We start from the raw sequence: 18,590 nt of genomic DNA, 5'->3' as shown, positions 1-18,590 counted from the left end.
TTCCATCTCTTATTTATATTACGGTTACTTTTAAAATGTCAGCGAAAGTTATTTGGATGCTGTCATTTTTTGTTTCGGTCTTTGAATTTATCTTTGATGAATATAAATGTTTTAAATAAAATAGCAGCAATATATTATTCTAAAATATCATGCTTGGTTTGACTTATTAAATAGTTTATGAAAAAGTTTTATTTTATATTTACGTTGTTTTTGACTTAAAAATACCAAGTGTATTAATCTCCTTTACAATTTAAGACTTAAGCCTTAAAATTCAGGATACAACTGTAGCACGCTATTAATGCCCAAGGGCAACATACTTTTTATGGTGACCAATCAACTGAGATTCTAAAATCAAGTTTAATAAGGACTGAAACATCATGACTTGGCTATCAGTGCATGTAATTTATACCCCTTTGCAAGTTTAAAGGCACTGATCTCTAGTTATTCAGGCTTGGACATTTTCTCCTGCCCTACCGTCTTTGTGGTCCCAAGTGTCATGCCCCAGTAAATGCTTCCATGCCTGTTCCTGAACCCAAAGAACTGTTATTGAATGGGACAGAGACTGAATGACTAAGGAAACTCTAGCTGCCTCCAGCCCCACACTTGGCTAAGCTGTAATCAGCTCTGTGTGAGGCTGGGCATGGAGCAGGTGTAGTCAATGTCCTCCTCTCTGTCTCGTCTCGGTTGTATCTTCATTTGGTGCCGCTCTCACGGACGCCTATCTTCCTCTCTGTCTGTTCCTATTGTCTTTCCAGGCTCCTGGCTGTCCTTTCTGTCATAGCAGCCCCAGTGATTTTGATAATGTCAGCAAGAGCCGAAAGCTGTCGCCCATCTGTGATAGTTGGATAGGGAGCCGCATGAAATGCTGAGGGAATGGAAAAGAGAGTGGGGGCAGTCAAGTGTGGCAAGGGTGGCATTTGCCATAGGTACTGACCACTTGTGAGAGTATTTGTTGCTCTTCAGCATAGTGTAGGAATGATCACTGGAGGGGAGGTCAAAGCCGGAATTTTCAGCTGACACTGGATTTGACCAGCTGCCTGCCTTGGAGTTGTGGTAGTGAGAGACTCACTCTGTTTCTCCCTGGGCTCAGTTTTCTCATTTGTAAAATGGTGCTGGGGAAAATGTGCTGGAGCTGGATTACTTGATTCTTACGGTCTTTCAAGTTCTAATGGTCTAAGTAGGATAGTGTTCTTCGAACATTTTTTGCTCATGTACCTCTAAACAACTTTTTGAAAAACTATGATTCAATGCACATTTTAAAGTTGATATCTAAAAGTTTGAATCTTCTATTTAAATAGTTGCAAAGGATATGATTTCTAATATTTCATAAAAATTATGGTATATATGGTATATATATATATGGTATATGTCATAAAAAATGGTAGTTTTAAAGAGAGAATTTAAAATTTAAAAAAGTATCCATTGGAATTTAAATGCCATACTCATATGAGACCCCCTTCATCCACTTAAGAACTCTACAAACTCTTTTTATTCAACATTTTAAAATTTTATATTTCCCTTTATCCATGATATTATATTCCACTTTCCCACAGGATTTTATATTAATGCACATATGTTTTATGCTTGAAAACTTTTTATTGATCACTCTATCATACTTATCATAATAAGATTATGGCTTATAAATTCAAATTTTAAAATTTGTTTTCTTTTCTGTGACCATAAGGCTTTAAGGGCTAAAAATAGTCTTCTGTAATAGGTTGTAATTATAATTATTATTGGCACATAGTTGATCAAAAATAAAAACATATATTGAATTTTTAGAATCATGCATTGTATAATGACATTTTAGTCATTGACAGACTGCATATACAACTGTGGTCTCATAGAATTAGAATGGAGCCAGAAAGTTCCTGTCACCTAGGGACACAGCCATCTTGATGTTGTAGCCTAATGCATTACTCACATGTTTGTGATGATGCTGGTTTTGACAAATCCACTGCACTGCCAGATGTATAAAACTAAAGCACAGGCCGGGCGCAGTGGCTCACACCTGTAATCCTAGCACTTTGGGAGGCCGAGGCGGACGGATTGCCTGAGCTCAGGAGTTTGAGACCAGCCTGGACAACATGGTGAAATCCCATCTCTACTAAAAATACAAAAAAATTATTCGGGTATGGCAGCGTGCACCTGTAGTCCCAGCTACTCAGGAGAGTGAGGCAGGAGAATTGCTTGAACCCGGGAGGTGGAGGTTGCAATGAGCTGAGATTATGCCACTGCACTCCAGGCTGGGCAATAGAGCAAGACTCTGTCTCCAAAAAAGAAAAGTAAAGCGCATACAGTTATGTACAGTACATAATACTTGATAATGGTAATAAACAACTATGTTACTGGTTTATGTATGTATTATACTATACTTTTTATTGCTATTTTGGAGTGCACTTTTAAGTAGAATGAGTAATAAGTAGAATTAAAAAAAAGTTAAATGTAAAACAGCCTTAGGCAGATCCTTCAGGAGGGATTCCAGAAGAAATCATTGTTATCACAGGAGATGACACAGCACCATGCATGTTATTGCCCCTGAAGACCTTCCAGTGGGACAAAATATAGAGGTGGGAGACAGTGATATTGATGATCCTGGCCCAGTGTAGGCCTAAACTAACATGTGTTTGTGTCTCAGTTTCTAATAAGAAAAAGTTTAAAAAGTAAAAAAACTTAAAAATATTTTTAAAAATTAAAAAAAGCTTATAGAATAAGAATGTGAAGAAAGAAAATGTTTTGGCTGGGTCGGTGGCTCCCGCCTGTAATCCCAGCACTTTGGGAGGCCGAGGTGGGTGGATCACTTGAGGTCAGGAGTTCGAGACCAGCCTGGCCAACTTGGCAAAACCCCATCTCTACTAAAAATGCAAAACTTAGCTGGGCGTGGTGGCGGGCACCTGTAATCCCAGCTACTCAGGAGGCTGAGGCAGGAGAATCGCTTGAACCCAGGAGGCAGAGGTTGTAGTGAGATGAGATCATGACACTGTACTCTCCAGCCTGGGTGACAGAGTGAGACTGTCTAAAAAAAAAAAAAAAAGAAAATGTTTTGTACAGCTGTACAATGTGTGTTTTAAGCTAAGTGTTATCACAAAAGAGTCAAAAAGTTGAAAAAATTTAAAAGTTCATAAAGTAAAAATGTTATAGTGTGCTTAGGTTAACTTATTATTGAAGAAAAAACATATTTTAAAATAAAGCCTAAATGTACTATGTTTATAAATTCTGCAACAGTGTACAGAAATGTCCTAGACCTTCACATTCACTAACGACTCATTGATTGACCCAGAGCAACTGCTAGTCCTGCAAACTCCGCTCATGGGAAGTGCTCTAGACAAGTGTACTATTTAAAAACCTTTTATACTGTATTTTTACTGTACCTTTTCAATGTTTAGATATACAAAAATTTACCATTATGTTACAATCACCTGCAGTAGTATTCAGTACACTAACATGCAGTACAGGTTTGTAGCCTAGGAGTAATAGGCTTTACCATATAGCCTAGGTGTGAAGTAGGCTATACATCTAGGTTTGTGTAACTACACTCTGTGATGTTCATACAACAAAATCAACCAACGATGCCTTTCTCAGAACATATCCTTGGCGTTAAGTGATACATGACTGTATTAAACATAAGTAATTTTTATTGGAAATACATTTGTTAATGAGATGATGAGGCATTATCCTAATTATTTCATATGTCTCTGTATGAATATGACATTTATGCAATGAAGCAGATTTCAACATCTGTATTATCACTACTCTTTTTTTAATAGATGTTAGCACTGAGAAAATATGTTCACATAAAAAAGTACACAGAAATGGAAATTTGCTATATCACCATCACTTGATTGTTTGACTACCTTTTGAGTTATTTGTCAAAAATTATACACAGATTTATAATCAAGATTATTTTTAATTTTGTTAAGAACAAAGAGTTGGGAACCGCCTGACTTGTTGTTCATTCATTAGAGCCTGATTCCCTATTTCAATTCCTGGGAGGTATACAGAAAAGGCTTTTACAATACTGTCAATTAACTGTTAATAATCCCAGCTATTCTTTTTCTTAGAGGCACCTTGTTTAATCAGACGTATTTTTTAAATTGTTGGAAAAGATCAATGTTATTAATTTCCTTCTACTTTTATATAGTGCTTTTCTGTTATCATGTGCTTTGAATGTATTCTCATCAAAATCCTGGAACTATAGGTTTGGTTTATTAAATATGTGAAAAGTAACTTCCATATAATCTACTTGGCAAAGTCAATCCTTACTGTAAAACCAATCAGACAAATAATTCTTATTTTCCCTTAAGATAAAAATCTGACATTGTTTTTTCAATTCAACCAAACACGTTAATAAGCATTTCAAGGACTATTATAAATACTACTGGCAAAAAATTATGGAACCCATCTTGTAGGATAGATAATAAAATCAGTCAAGTCAAGGTTAAAATGATGCAGCACTAATGTGATTTATCCATTTCACAATATTAATAAGAACAAGATCATAAATCCATATGTAGCTCCTCTGTTCTGAATTTGTATAGGTCACTGTTATATGTATGTCAAAGGACTTCTGTAAACTAGATCTGCTAAATATGGATGCGTGCATGTATCAAACATTGTTCTTCTGCTTTGGAGAATAATTAAGAGTCAAATATAAAGATGAGTAATAACTCCATCAATGTTATGAAACAGCATGATCAAACTTTCCTTATATGGTAAGTGAAAGAGAACAATATCCAATTGCTAAAAAATGAATCAGTCTGGAAGTTATGCTATAATTTTCTCTTTGGCTAATAGGAGGTGAAAAATGCTGAACATTTGAATATCTGAGGTTCCTCTGATTTTTGGTGTAATGCCTCACTTGGATGAAGGTGGCGGGGAAGCCCCAGTGCCCCATGTCTGAACGGACTCAGAGCAGGGGAGAGGGACTCGGAAGCCCCAGTGCCCCATGTCTGAACAGACTCAGCAGGGGAGAGGGACCCTTGGTACCTGATGGGGGTGGCGCCAGATGCTGTCAACAATATCTGTGAGCAGCTCTGAGTAAGGGGGTTGTGGAGGATGGACCCTGACCTCTAGGGAGAGCTGGGTCCTCCCCTCCAGAAGCTCCTCACCCAATTCATTACATGATTTCCTCCTGCTCCTTGAATATTTAAAATTCTGAATGTTTTCTTTCCTTAACAATTGCTTTAATTTTCCTATCTCATCTAACTCTGTTCACTTCAGTCTGAACTTTCTGAGTCCCGTTTGGGACTCAGTGGCTGGCCAGCTCCCCACGAACTTGGCCCAAAGCCCAGAACCCATTCTTCCTCCCACCCCTCCATTCCAGACAGAGATTCATCCTACTTGGCAGGCTGTGTCCCAGAGGACTCAGCATTTTGGAGAACTCTTTGCTCCCAGACACCTATTTCCAGAAGGCACGAGTGTCCCCCACCCCTCCTGGGATCAGTCCAGCCATGTGCTCTGCAGCAGGGCCCTGGGTCACCCCTCCCTATTGCCTGCCTGCCTGCAGATTTACTTGACTCTTTGGATGCAAACTCATATCTGCATCCAGCCATTGCTCCTGTGGTGGTGGTTTGACTGAAGGACAGGGAACCCTAATTTTTTTAAGTGTTGTTACATCCCTATCTATACCAGACCTCTCCAAACTCCTGGGTGATTTCTAAGGTGTTAGGCTGCTGCAACCCTGCTAGCAATCTCGGAGGGGATTCCTAGACACCCATGACCCATAGTGAGGTGGGAGGATATTGGTGCCTTTGGCAGACCACGCAGCCCCCAGCCACCATCCCCCAGTGCTGGATGACTTCCCCTCCAGGGCTGTGTTGACTTTTAGACACGAAAGCCACCTGATCATTTATTCTTCCAATGTCATGCTCCATTTGAAGTGGTCCAACTAAGCCTGATTGCTATCCCAGTGACATCTTTTACTCCATGGGGCACATGTCCCATCCCTGGAATAACCTACTTCATCTTTTCTGCTCTTTCCAAAAGGCCATAACCTCAGCATGCAGGGTTTCTCTCTGCAGTGTTCATCTGCAAGGGGCTGTTGGGTCCCTTAGGGGTCACCACTTCCAATGTTCAGGGCTCTAAACAAATTCCACAGTGTCCCGTGGTATGGGTTTAGGAGCTTTATTGGGAAGGAGAAATCTGAAATGAGCAAAGAAAGAGAACGGGGGTTCCCTGTCCCTGCTATTTAGTTCCTGGGGAGGTATAGGGATTGGTGGCTTCCTTCCCGGATAGACAGAGCTGGACTTTACAAGGCCCCAGGTGCTGGCCGGCTTGCAGGCCAGACAACCCCAGTAAACAGCTGGCACATCAGAGCCAAATGCCAAGCCCCAAACAACCTGTCCCCCATGGGCAAGGCTGCTTTCTTACGGATGCTCTATAAAATGACCCAGTCCCAGACACAACTCCTCCCCTGGAAGGTAGACATGGGCTGTCTGACCAGTGAATCCCCAGGCCTTGGCCCACAGGAGCCTGGGAGCCTGGCCCCTCTTCCCTTATTGGCTCAGGCCTTGTGAATATTCTCCTCTCCACAAAAGCTTATTCCTTAATCTGGACCAAGTAACACGGTGGAGTTCATGGAAAGCATGGCGGCTGGCAGGTGGAGTTGTAGCCACCTTGCCAGGCGATTGCCTATGTTTAAATATGTGAAAGAGGCAGATTGTAAAATTCCCTCTCTCTGCCGGCATTGTCTGTTTTGCTCTAACAAGATTCTCCCTTAAGAGCAATGTGTTCTTTGACAATAGCCTGGGGACAGGAGAGGCAAAGTCTTTAAACAAAAATTGTTATTACTCCCACTACTGCTCTCTACTCTTACCTAATTCAAAACATCCCAAGGAGGCTGCATGCCTAACACTCCTGCACCCCAACAGGAAAATAAGTAAGCAGGAAAGCCGGAAGCCCCAAGGATCTGATGCTGCAGTGACTCACTGAGGGGCTTTCCCCTGCTGGGTGCTCTGGAGGCTTTTAAACCTTCGACAATGCCTCGTAGTGAGACTGAGGATGGGCGTGCTTTTACTTTTCTTTTGTCAAGTGGACAAAGGGTTGGTGAGCAAGGGGGTCATTCTTTGGCAGATCAGCTTTAGTACAGATTACACAGAGGCTGAGTGCTTGGGCGATGATTCCTTTTAGCCCGTCCATGTCCAGGTATCCCTTAGAAAGTCTCCAACAACCCCTAGAGATGTGCCTTCCCTAGTTTGAGGACCACTGACTGGTCTAGGAATCTAGGATTCCGAGGTGTCAGGCTTAGGCTAGAGTGCCCTGGGGCCTGCCTGGAAGCTGATAGCCTCCTTGGAACAGTTGCTGGAGACGGTATCTTTATAGAGAGGCTTTTGTGGGTGATGGAGGTTTTCTTCTTCTGACAGATATGCACACAGCTGCAGGAGTTAGCCAATACTATTTTTTCTACCTTCCACTGTTACTGCTGCTATTACTGCTCTCCCCCTGTTTATCCTCTAGCTACATGGTCTCCTAGTAGGTCTTCCAACACACCAGGCACACTCGGTCCTCAGGGCCTTTGCACTGGCTGTTCCCTCTGCTGTAATGCTGATCCAGATATCTGCATGGCCAACTCCCTCATCTGTAATTCTGTTCTCCAGGAGGCCTGCCCTGACTCGTCTATTTCAAGTTGCAACTACATGTTCCTCTCCACCTCCTCTCTATCCCTCATGCCTTCCCTTATTTCCTCTATGAAACCTATCATCTCCTAAAACATTGATTTATGTATTTACGTTTAATGTTTTTGTCTTCCTCTACCACCTCTCACTCCCTGGAACAGAAATTCTTTGAGGGCAAGGATCAGTCTGCTTTGTTCACTGATGTACACTAAATGCCTAGAAGGGAGCTGGCACATGGTTGGTGTGCAGTAGACATTTGCTAATGAAGGAATAAATGAACAGACTCATTTGGTGAAAAAAACAAGTTCAACTTTCACAGCTTAGCTGATCCACATGACCTCTCCCTTAAAAAATATGCAACGCACCATAGCATCAAATTACACCTGAGCTCTGAGAAGTGGCCAGCCTTTCCTTTTTCTTCTCTCCTCCTCCTCTGGTCTTCCTCCTCTTCCTCCTCCTTCTTTTTCCTCTTCCGCTTCTTCTTCTTTTTTTTGTTTATCAGCCAGTATACATGACCCTGACTGACCCTTTTAGTCTCATCTCTGGTCCTTTTTGATGAAGCCCAGAGCCTGCAAACCAGAGGCCAGCGGGACAAAGTTGGCGTGCAGACATGTTTCTTCACAGTGGTTAAAATGAATAAAAATGCATCACCAATCTTTGAAAAAATTGTATATATTTAATATATGTATATATACATTTTTTGAGACGGTCTCATTCTGTCACCCAGACTGGAGTGCAGTGGCATGATCACAGCTCACTGCTCAAACTCCTGGGCTCAAGTAATCCTCCCACTTAATTCTCCCAACTATCTGGGACTACAGGCAAGTGCCAATATGGAATATTTCAAAGATATTTAAACTTCGAAACTATCAAAGCTATCAACATCTTCTTTTGTCTTCTGAAAAATCAGATTTGCTAACATTGGGCCACATCCCCAGTAGGCAGAAGCTAAGCACCAGCTGCCCCTTAGACAGGGCACCGTCTCCATCACCTCCTACTGTGTCCTTGCCACTGGCACCAAGATTAGCAGTGTTCTTGCTGAGCTGTGGCTCCTTCCATAGCCTGCTTTATGTACTCTGTGATTTGTACCCACCTGGCCTCTATAGAAATTTGAGTTTATAGCCCTTGATTTTAAAGATAATGAAGAGATCTGCAGTTCCCAGAATTTGTCCTGTGGTCTCTTTCATTTCCAGGCCTTTGCCAATGCTGGCTTTCAACCTGGAATATTCACCTTCCCCTCTTCACCTGGTCAGCTTCTACTCATTACCTTAGATGGCACTTCCTGTAGGAAGCATGCTTTGGTTTTCCAATATAGAGTTAAGTGCCCTTCCTTATAACAATGCAGGAAGTTCCCTTCCTCTCATTCTGCTGTGAAGTCTTCTCTGTCACTCTGTATTATAATTTCTTATCTTCTTCCCTACTAGATTTAGAGCATTTTTAAGGTAGGGACATGTCTTGTTCACCTTAAGTCCAGGAGTTGGCAAATTATAGCCCACAGGTGAAACTTAACCGGCAGGCTCTTTGTGTACAGCCCTAACGCTAAGAGCAGTTTCTACATTTTTAGAGCATGGTAAGAACAAAACAGTATGTGAGAGACAGCCTATGTGGCCTACAATGCCTAAAATATTCACTCTCACAATCTTTACAGAAAAAGTTTGTTTATCCCTATTCTAGCCTTCCATCTGGCACAAAGTAAGTATTGAATAAATGTGAAATGAATAAATAGCTGTTGTCTTATACCTGGCATTCCAAGTAATACACATGTACTGGAGATTCTAAATTGAGTGGAGAGATAAAGACATTGTATATAGCTTATCAATGTATGGTTACTTAACCTCATAATTTTACCTGCTCCAGGGGGAATACCCCCCATGCCCTCTGCATTGCATGATGCTGCTCACACATTACATATATGTAATACTATGTTTATATTACAATAACATATTTATTATATTATGACATTAATTATACATTATGTAATATATATCATTTAAATAATATAAATAATATACTCACATAATATATTTACATAATAATAATTAATTATTATTATTTTCTATTTCACAAACACTCAAATCTTCCAAGTTTGTTCTAGCCACAGCACCTTTGCATTTTCCATTCCCTCTGCATGGAGTGTTCTTCCCCCAGACTCCTGCACAGCTGGCTTCTCTTCAACACTCAGATCCCAGCTCAAATATCACATCTTCAGAGACGCTTCCTTCTCTTTATCTCATTACTCTGTTTTATCTTCTTCATAGCACAGTTCACCATATGAAGTGATCTTATTTCTTTGTCTACTTATAGTCTGTCTTCACAAATGATGTAAACTTTATGAAGGCAGGCACATGGTCTGTTTTGCTTACTTTCTGTATCCTCACCATTTAGAACTGTGCCTGGCATATGACAGGTTCACAAACACATATTTTAAATAAATGCAATTAGATAGAAACTAAGTGCATGATATTCACATCAGCTTCTTTCTTGCACAGCTATTCAATTCAAGGACTAAATCTGAGAGTTGAACCTCTGATTCAAGAAAAGTAAAAACTTTACACGATTAAAGTCAGTTATGCTACAGTTGGGCTGATTGAGGTGTGAGACGTCACTGGGAAAAACAAGCTTCTTTGAGAAGCCTGCGGGTGCAGGGACAAGGCCATGTCCCATGGGCTGATTGAGGTGTGAGACGTCACTGGGAAAAACAAGCTTCTTTGAGAAGCCTGCGGGTGCAGGGACAAGGCCATGTCCCATTTGGCAGGAAATCCTGGGAGCCCATGCTACAGAAAAGCAGGAATGAAGCTCTGCAGGAAAGCTCTGAATTAATGAGCATCACTGGCTGGCAGCCTTTCGGTTCACTCTCAACACAAATATCAAACCCACCAGCGGATAAACGGCTTTAAATTAAAGGAAAAGGGCTGGTCATGTTTGCTTGCCAGCTAGTGCATGAAACATTTTCAGGGCCCTCAAAGGCATCAGGGACTATTTGTTTATTGATGTAGCTCCCTGTAGGGCTGACTCCGATTTAAATTCTGGATCTCTTTGTTAAAGTATGAAAATGATTTTGCATAATCAAAACCTCTATCTTTCTCATTGTTCTCCAGAAACACATCTCTGAGAAAAACATTTTTTTAACAGAAAATCTGTAAAGATGGGTAAGAATATACAAAATCTGATTTCAATAAATAAATAGTTACGGTGAATTGATAGCTCCTTAACTGCCTTTTGAATATTTAGTGCCAAAGAGAGTATGTCTTGTTCAGGAAAACACTACATCACTTGATTTCCCTTTCAGCAGATTTTGTGTCATTAATGCCTCTATTTGTCTCATTCCATCCTTAATAAATCAGTAACTGTTCTCTTGAACACTTAGCTAGAGGTTGCCTACTCAGGGTGGAACCCCACAGAAGAAATAAACATTAACCTTTCTGGATATAGTCATGGGATTTGATATAATGACGCAGCACCCTCAGACACAGAGATGTACGGAAGCATTTTGTGAGTGAAAATTAAACAAGAGTTCATAGGTAGCTGTAGGCAGATCTTTTATGCAGGGCAGACACTTAACTGGCATCCAGCCCTTTCAGAACTGGATGAAGTGTGGGAGGGAATGTCTATGAACAGCTAGGATCAGTGTTACCAAGACCAAGCCTGAGGGACATGGCCTGAAACCAACCATAGGAGAAGCCTCCATCAGAACTGGTCTGTTTCCTCTTGGCTTACAAGAAACATTCATTCCATCAATTTTTATGGCAGTTATTATATTCCAAGCACTAGACCAGGCTCTGGGATAGAGAGATGAATCAGATGCGGTCTCTGTACTCTGGGGGCTTACTAAGGGGACAAGTGTGGGAAGTACTGTGCTGAGCTGCAGGTGATGAGCACAAGAACTGAGGTCCAGTTCCTGGCTTCTTTGGTTTCTTTCTTCCTTCAAGAAGGACATTGACTTCCTGGCCTTTCTGACTTGCATTTCAGACCTCCTGAAAGCCGCTCCTTCATTCCTGTACTCAATAGGGGAGGAGGCTAAACCCACGGACACAGAGATGAGTGGGTGGTTACTGCCCTATGGGAACGGCAGCCTAGTGGTGAGAAGAGGCAACTCGGCAAATAATTACAATACAAAATCAGCCCTAATACCAGTTTCTGCTGTGCTGTGTCTGTAACTCTTGAAGTGCCTCAAAAATCCATATTTGTAGGCCTCAGCCACAGGCGATGATTCAGTAGGTTGAGAAGAAGTTGAGAAATGTATGTTGTTAACAGTGTATCCTAGTGATTCCAGCATATGGTCAGGTCTAGGAAGGGGACGGTAGACAAGTGGTGCTAGCAGAGGGGCTGCATAGTTGAGAGCTATTGGTCCTCTAAGACTTCAGAGGCATTAGGTTTATACCAGGTATAGTTTGGATGAAGGAAGACTATTTCAGGGATATAGGATCACATGGTACAACTCATGGGGTGATGAATGTCTGGGGCCTTGAGGGAACTGGGAAAGGCAAGCGTGAAAAAAGGAGTCACAAAAGCTGAAGTTGGGCAGGAGAGAAGGGGGCTGACTAAGAAGGATATTTAGCAAAGAGTTAAGAAGCTTGGCATGGATTCTATAGGGAAGACAGTGGCATGATCCCAGCAGAGTTCAGGAACACAGTGCTGGTGGCAAGATGGCAAGGATCTAGAGTAGCAGGACTAGAGGCAGAGGAACTGTCTTAGTTATCAATTGCTGTATAATAAATTACTCCAAAATGTAGTGGCTTTATACAATAACATTTTATTTGCTCCTCACTTGCTTTGGGTCAGGGATCCAGGCAGAGCAGGACTGGGAAGTTCTGCTCTTCATGGTTTGGCTGTGGCTCAGCTGGTGGTTGGGCTGGGCTGGACTGGAAGGTCTGAGGAAGCTCCATCCTTCTGCCTGGCACCCCAGTGCTCCTCTGCATGGCCTCTCTCTCTCTCTAGTGGGAAGAGAGTTGCTTAGGATTCTTCATGGAATGGTGGTTTAGGGGCAGTTGAACTTCTTATACAGGGCCTGACTTCCAGGAGGGAGCATTCCAAGTGGCAAAGGCAGATCTCTTAAGGTCAACCTTGGAAGTTACTTCCACATTACAACCGTGCTGCTTTTATGGGTTGAAATAGGTCAAATAGGTCACAGGGCCAGCTCAGACTTAAGAAGAAGGGAAATAGACTCCACCTCTTGATGTGGGGGAGGCAAGGTCATACTGCATAAGACATGGGGGATGGAGACATTGGCACAGCTACCTTGGTAAACACCATCTACCGCAGGACTAACTGGAATATTGTGATCTCTTAGACAAGAGATAAAGAGACCTGACGCATGGCAGTAGCAACAGTGATAGAAAGGGATGCCCATGGGAGATGTTTTAGAAGTAGAATTACATAACCTGCTTCCTGACTGGACTTGCGGAAGGGGATGGAAGGGTGAAGATTGATTCTTGAGTTCGTGATTGGCATAAGTGACGCTATCCACTGAGAAAAGGAGAGATCTGGGGCAGTTTGATGAGTGTGAGTGTGGCCAAAGCTGAGGTTGGTTTGTGACATGCTGAGTTTGAGACCCCTTTGCATGGAGAAGTTGAATAGGCATTGGAGCTCAGGAGAGAGATGTAGCTTAAAGACGCAACAAGTCCCTGGCATTGAAGCCTTAGGAATGGATAAGTCGACATACCTAGATGCTGTGGTTTGACTACATTCCCTCTCACATTCAGGTGTTACTAATGTGACAGTATTAAATGATGAGAGGCTTTAGGAGGTGATTAGCCCATGAGTGTTTCTCCCCCATAAATGAGTTTACTAGATGCCCTTGAGGAAGGGAGTTAGCTCTCTCTTGCCCTTCTGCTTTCTGCCACGTGAGGATGCAGTAAGAAAGCCTACACCAGATGCCAGCACCTTGATCTTGAACTTCCCAGCCCTCCAGAACTCTGAGAGAATAAATTCCTGTTCTTTGTGAGTTACTCAGTCTCAGGTATTCTGCTATGGCAGCACAAATGAACTAACACATGTGCATCCTCTTATTTTCATTTACAGGTGAGCAATGCAAGGTTTAGAGGCTCAGGACATCGCCCAAGGTGAGAGCTGGCAAGTAGTGAGTCAGGATTTGAACCAGCCTGTCTTATTCCACAGCCCATTCTCTTAAGGATTACCTTACCTTGCTCTCAGCAGGCAGTCCCTGAGCCCTTGTGATCTTGCTCTAAGGGGAAGCCAAGGCCCTGAAAACATTAGCTTATGAGAGCAGCTCCAGATGGAACTCTGGTCATAATCACAGGCTGAGCTCCAACCCTTGTCACACACTGAGCCCTGACCCTGGTCCATACTGAACCCCAATCCTGGTCACACACTGAGCCCTGACCCTGGTAATACAGTGAGCCCTGTGCTGTTATTGCCGCAGGAAACAGACTAAGACAGTAGGTTTTCCTTTTTTATCTTCATCAGCTTTATTAATGTCAAGAGCAGCTTAAACTTTTTGATTGGATATATCTTTTCTAAAGACAAAATGAATGTAAAAACACATCCCAGTTGGGGGCCGAATGACAGACACAAGCCAAAAACACAAGCCAAAGAAGGAAGATGAGCAAATCTCCTTTTCAAAGTGAATCAGAAGGCATCTGCTTTTGCCCTCCCCCTGCTGTGGCTTTGCGGAAGTGGTTCTTTTGTAATTAATCATCATTTCTATCCCCCCTTCTCCCGTCCCAAAGAGAAAAATCAGAAGTATGAATCAGGTCTCAACTTAGCAGTTGGGAAAAACACTGTAGAAGCTATATTTTAAAATATTTTAAAAATATCTCCTCAGAGGTGGCTTCCAAGGGGAGAAATCCACTTAAAACATATGTAATGGGAACATTTTTCTTTTGAGACTTTTTGCGTATTCATTTTACACAAAAATGTAAAAGTTAAAGTTCCTGTGTGTGATTTTATTTTTGTAAATTTTTGTTTATTTTTCTAAGTCTGATTTTAAAGGATCAACTTCTATTCTTAGATTGTAGGAAGACTATGTCCAGAAACTATTCTATGACTAAAACATCTTTACCAATGTAACCATACAAAAAGGAGGAAAATTCTAGAAGTCCCCTAGTCTGAAAACTGCTAAAAGCTTCTGAAGACTGTGTTTTTTCAGGTGATACTTAGTCCATAGAATAGACATAAAAAATGAAACAAAACATAAGACTTGTCTTGTAGTTGAATCTCAGTACTTTAATGCCATACATGTACAAGTGTTTTATGATAAAATGGAAATATTCTATTCTGGGGAAAAGCAAACATTGGTTACCAGATATATTTATTTAATGTCATAAAGTACCAGTCAAGTTTTCGGTAAAGATAGCAGGATGAATCCAGGTCATAGAAACTCCCTATTACCTGATCACATAAATTAAAAATAGAAAATAATAAAAAAGGAAAGCAGGAAGGGATACCATTTAGTGTCCTAACTTTAAAAATGGGGTCCTAAGAAAGAAATCAACCTTACTGGAAAGATTCCTTGTGGGTCTTAACATAGCCTCTACCCCACCTCAAAGCTGCATGGGGGAAGGAAGATGGACTTGTTAACACGTCTTGAGAATTTCCCCTTAAATCCCAAATTTCAGAAGAAATACACTAAGGAGGTAAGTGAGCTACTTGGAGGAAACATAAAGGAAAATCCTCAAGAGAAAAAGCTTCAGTTCCAGTCACTGCAGCATCCTAGGATGGCATCTAATGCAGAGAAAAAATGTAGGAATATTCATTTTTTCAAGGCTTTTTCCTGAACTTAGAGACCTAATAGAGCATTTTTAGTTAAGGGTAACAAACCCAGGACATTTTATATAACCTTTGAAGGGGGAGTTCTGTCTTTCTCCCCCTCTTTCCAAATTCTATGGTTATAGAAATAATAGGACACATTACTCTGAGTCCCCAGACTATAGTTGGAAAGGGAAGATAAGCAGGTATAATATTAAGGTGAACATGGTACCAAAGAAAACTCATCTGTACTAAACTATAGCAAGGAAAAGGTGTGGATGAAAGTGCCCACATAAGCCTGAGCAAAATGAAAAGAAACATCATAGTAATTATTCAAACGTACAGTTTCATCACCTTTAAAATGGAGCAAATAATTGTATCTGCCTGACAGGGTTGTGTTATAATAATTAGAGGATTAATATATGGAAATTGCAGAGAACAGGGTCTGGCACACAGAGAACCATTCAGTAACTATTAACAATAAAAATAATGGTTTTATTAAAATAGTACAGGAAAAGGTAAAATCAATCTAGCACACTAAAGACTGATAAACAGTCTGCAAAAGAGGACAACTTATGGGAAAGATTACCCGAGAGTATTTTACTCTGAAGAGCTTAATAAAACTATGAATTTTATTAAATAAGTGTTTGACAACAGATTTAAAAAGAAAAACAGTATAAGATAAAAAAGAGGAATGCAGAGAAACAAAAACACCCAACTGCATTACATAATTTATAACTAAATTAGAATTTTCAAGGATTAGAATGGCCATAGCTGAAAATTGAATTGCTAACATAGAAGAAAGGCTCGATTGAATGCAGAGAATAATCAAGAGAGAATAGCAGTTCAAGAAGGACTAATAGATATAAGTGATTAATAAAGATGATCCAACATCATCCAACAAAATAAATTATGTCCAAGAAACTATAGAATAAATGACATAGAAACAAGTGACACCAAAAAATATAGCCAAAGTTGTGATAGAATAAAATTTTCCTTGAAATAAGTAAAAATCTAATATGCATATTGAAAGAACCCACCATGTTTCAGGAAATATTGACAAAATGATATAGAATGCGGATGCAGAACATTAGAATTTACTGAACATACGTTGTTAAATAATTATTTTTTACCTTTTATTTTAAGTTCAGGGGTACATGTGCAGGTTTGTTACACAGGTAAACTTGTGTCATGGGGGTTTGTTGTACAGATTATTTCATCATCCAGATATTAAGCCTAGTACCCATTAGTTGTTTTTCCTGATCTTCTCCCTCCTCCTACCCTCCACTCTTCAATAGGCCCCAGTGTGTGTTGTTCCCCTGTATGTGTCCATGTGTTCTCATCATTTAGCTGCCACTTGTAAGTGAGAACATTCAGCATTTGGTTTATGGTTCCTGTGTTAGTTTGCTAAGGATAATGGCCTCCAGCCCCATCCATGTCTTTGCAAAGGGCATGATCCCATTCTTTTTATGGCTGCATAGTATTCCATGGTGTATATGTACTACATTTTCTTATCCAGTCTATCGTTGATAGGCATTTAGGTTGATTCCATGTCTTTGCTATTGTGAATAGTGTTGCAGTGAACATTGGCATCCATGTGTCTTTATAATAGAACAATTTATATTCCTTTGTGTATATACCCAGCAATGGGATTGCTGGGTTGAATGGTATTTCTGTCTTTAGGTCTTTGAGGAATCACTACACTGTCCTTCACGATGGCTGAACTAATTTACACTCCCACCAACAGTGTGTGAGCATTCCTTTTTCTCCCTAACCTCGCCAGCATCTGTTATTTTTTGACTTTTTAATAGTAGCCATTCTGACTGGTGTAAGGTGGAATCTTATTGCGGTTTTGATTTGCATTTCTCTAATGATCAGTGATGTTGAGCTTTTTTTCATATGATTTTTGGTGGCATGTATGTCTTATAAACCTTTTTGAAAAGAAGAAAGATCTCTTCAAGTACCTAGGCAGAAAAATCAGGATACCTACAAATGAACAAAATCTTGCTGACCTAATACTTTTTCATAGCAATATTCAATGCCAGAATACAATGGAACAATGTCTAAAGTTCAAGGGAAAAGAGGGTTTGACCCAATGATTTTCTACCAATATAATCATCTCTTGCATATGAAGACCATATGTGGGAAATACTCCAATGAGAATTATAGCACATATGAGCTTTACTTGGGAGAAAACAAGAACATGAATACCTACTGTTCAGCTGTAAAATCAAGGCGGTCATTGATTTCTCCAATTCATAAAAGGAGAGTCCACTATATAAGGACTAGAGGATCATTTAGAGTTGGAAGCCAATGGAGCAATATCTGTAAGGTGTTGAGCAGAAGAAAATATGACATGTGAGTAGTGCATGTAGTCAAGATATCTTTTGAGTATCTGAGCAAAGGTCTTTCTCAGACATAATGTGAGTAAAGCATATGTGAACAAAACAACCTAACTGACAATGAAATCCAGCCAACCAAGAAATTAAACACCCCTCCCTCCTGAGGAATTAAAAAGCTTAAAAAAGAAAAAGCACTGGTAGTCCTTTTATTGTGGGAGTTATAGAACCAAATCCAAGATTTATAAACCTTGGGAAGTAAAAATTATTATTATTTTTTTTTTTTGAGACGGAGTCTCGCTCTGCCGCCCAGGCTGGAGTGCAGTGGCGGGATCTCCGCTCACTGCAAGCTCCGCCTCCCGGGTTCACGCCATTCTCCTGCCTCAGCCTCCCAAGTAGCTGGGACTACAGGCGCCCGCCACTACGCCCGGCTAATTTTTTGTATTTTTAGTAGAGACGGGTTTCACCGTTTTAGCCGGGATGGTCTCGATCTCCTGACCTCGTGATCCGCCCGCCTCGGCCTCCCAAAGTGCTGGGATTACAGGCGTGAGCCCCCGCGCCCGGCCTAAATTATTAACAAGATCTAAATTTTGTTAGGAGTGAAGAAGGATGAGAATATTAGTTACTAATGTAGCAGCGTATTAATACCGAACTCTTCCTCTCTGTGTATCTGGAGAGGTTCCTAAGGCTAAGGATAAAACACTAGGTGCCACCTTTCCCCGTGTTTCAAAGTTTGGTGCTGGACTCCATTTGCAGAACTCTTGGAGGGAATGGCCAAAAATATTCTCATAGTAAGAATATAAGAGGCTGGCCATGGTGGCTCACATCTGTAGTCCCAGCACTTTGGGAGGCGGCAGGTGGAACACCTGAGGTCAGGAATTCAAGACCAGCCTGACCAATATGGTGAAACCCCATCTCTACTAAAAATACA

General features: G+C 40.9%; 1 annotated feature.

Annotated features, from left to right (window-relative positions):
- Window positions 13,955-14,234: an enhancer, noted in NCBI's record as "active region_9933". NCBI's record gives its function as "activates an Ori minimal core promoter by ATAC-STARR-seq in GM12878 lymphoblastoid cells {active_cell/tissue: GM12878}" and the evidence as "EXISTENCE:reporter gene assay evidence [ECO:0000049][PMID:35858748]".

This window comes from Homo sapiens, chromosome 15 (assembly GCF_000001405.40).
Source record: "Homo sapiens chromosome 15, GRCh38.p14 Primary Assembly".
NCBI lineage: Eukaryota > Metazoa > Chordata > Mammalia > Primates > Hominidae > Homo > Homo sapiens.
The sequence above is the reverse complement of the archived record's forward strand: the minus strand, read 5'-3'. Positions and strand labels throughout refer to the sequence as shown.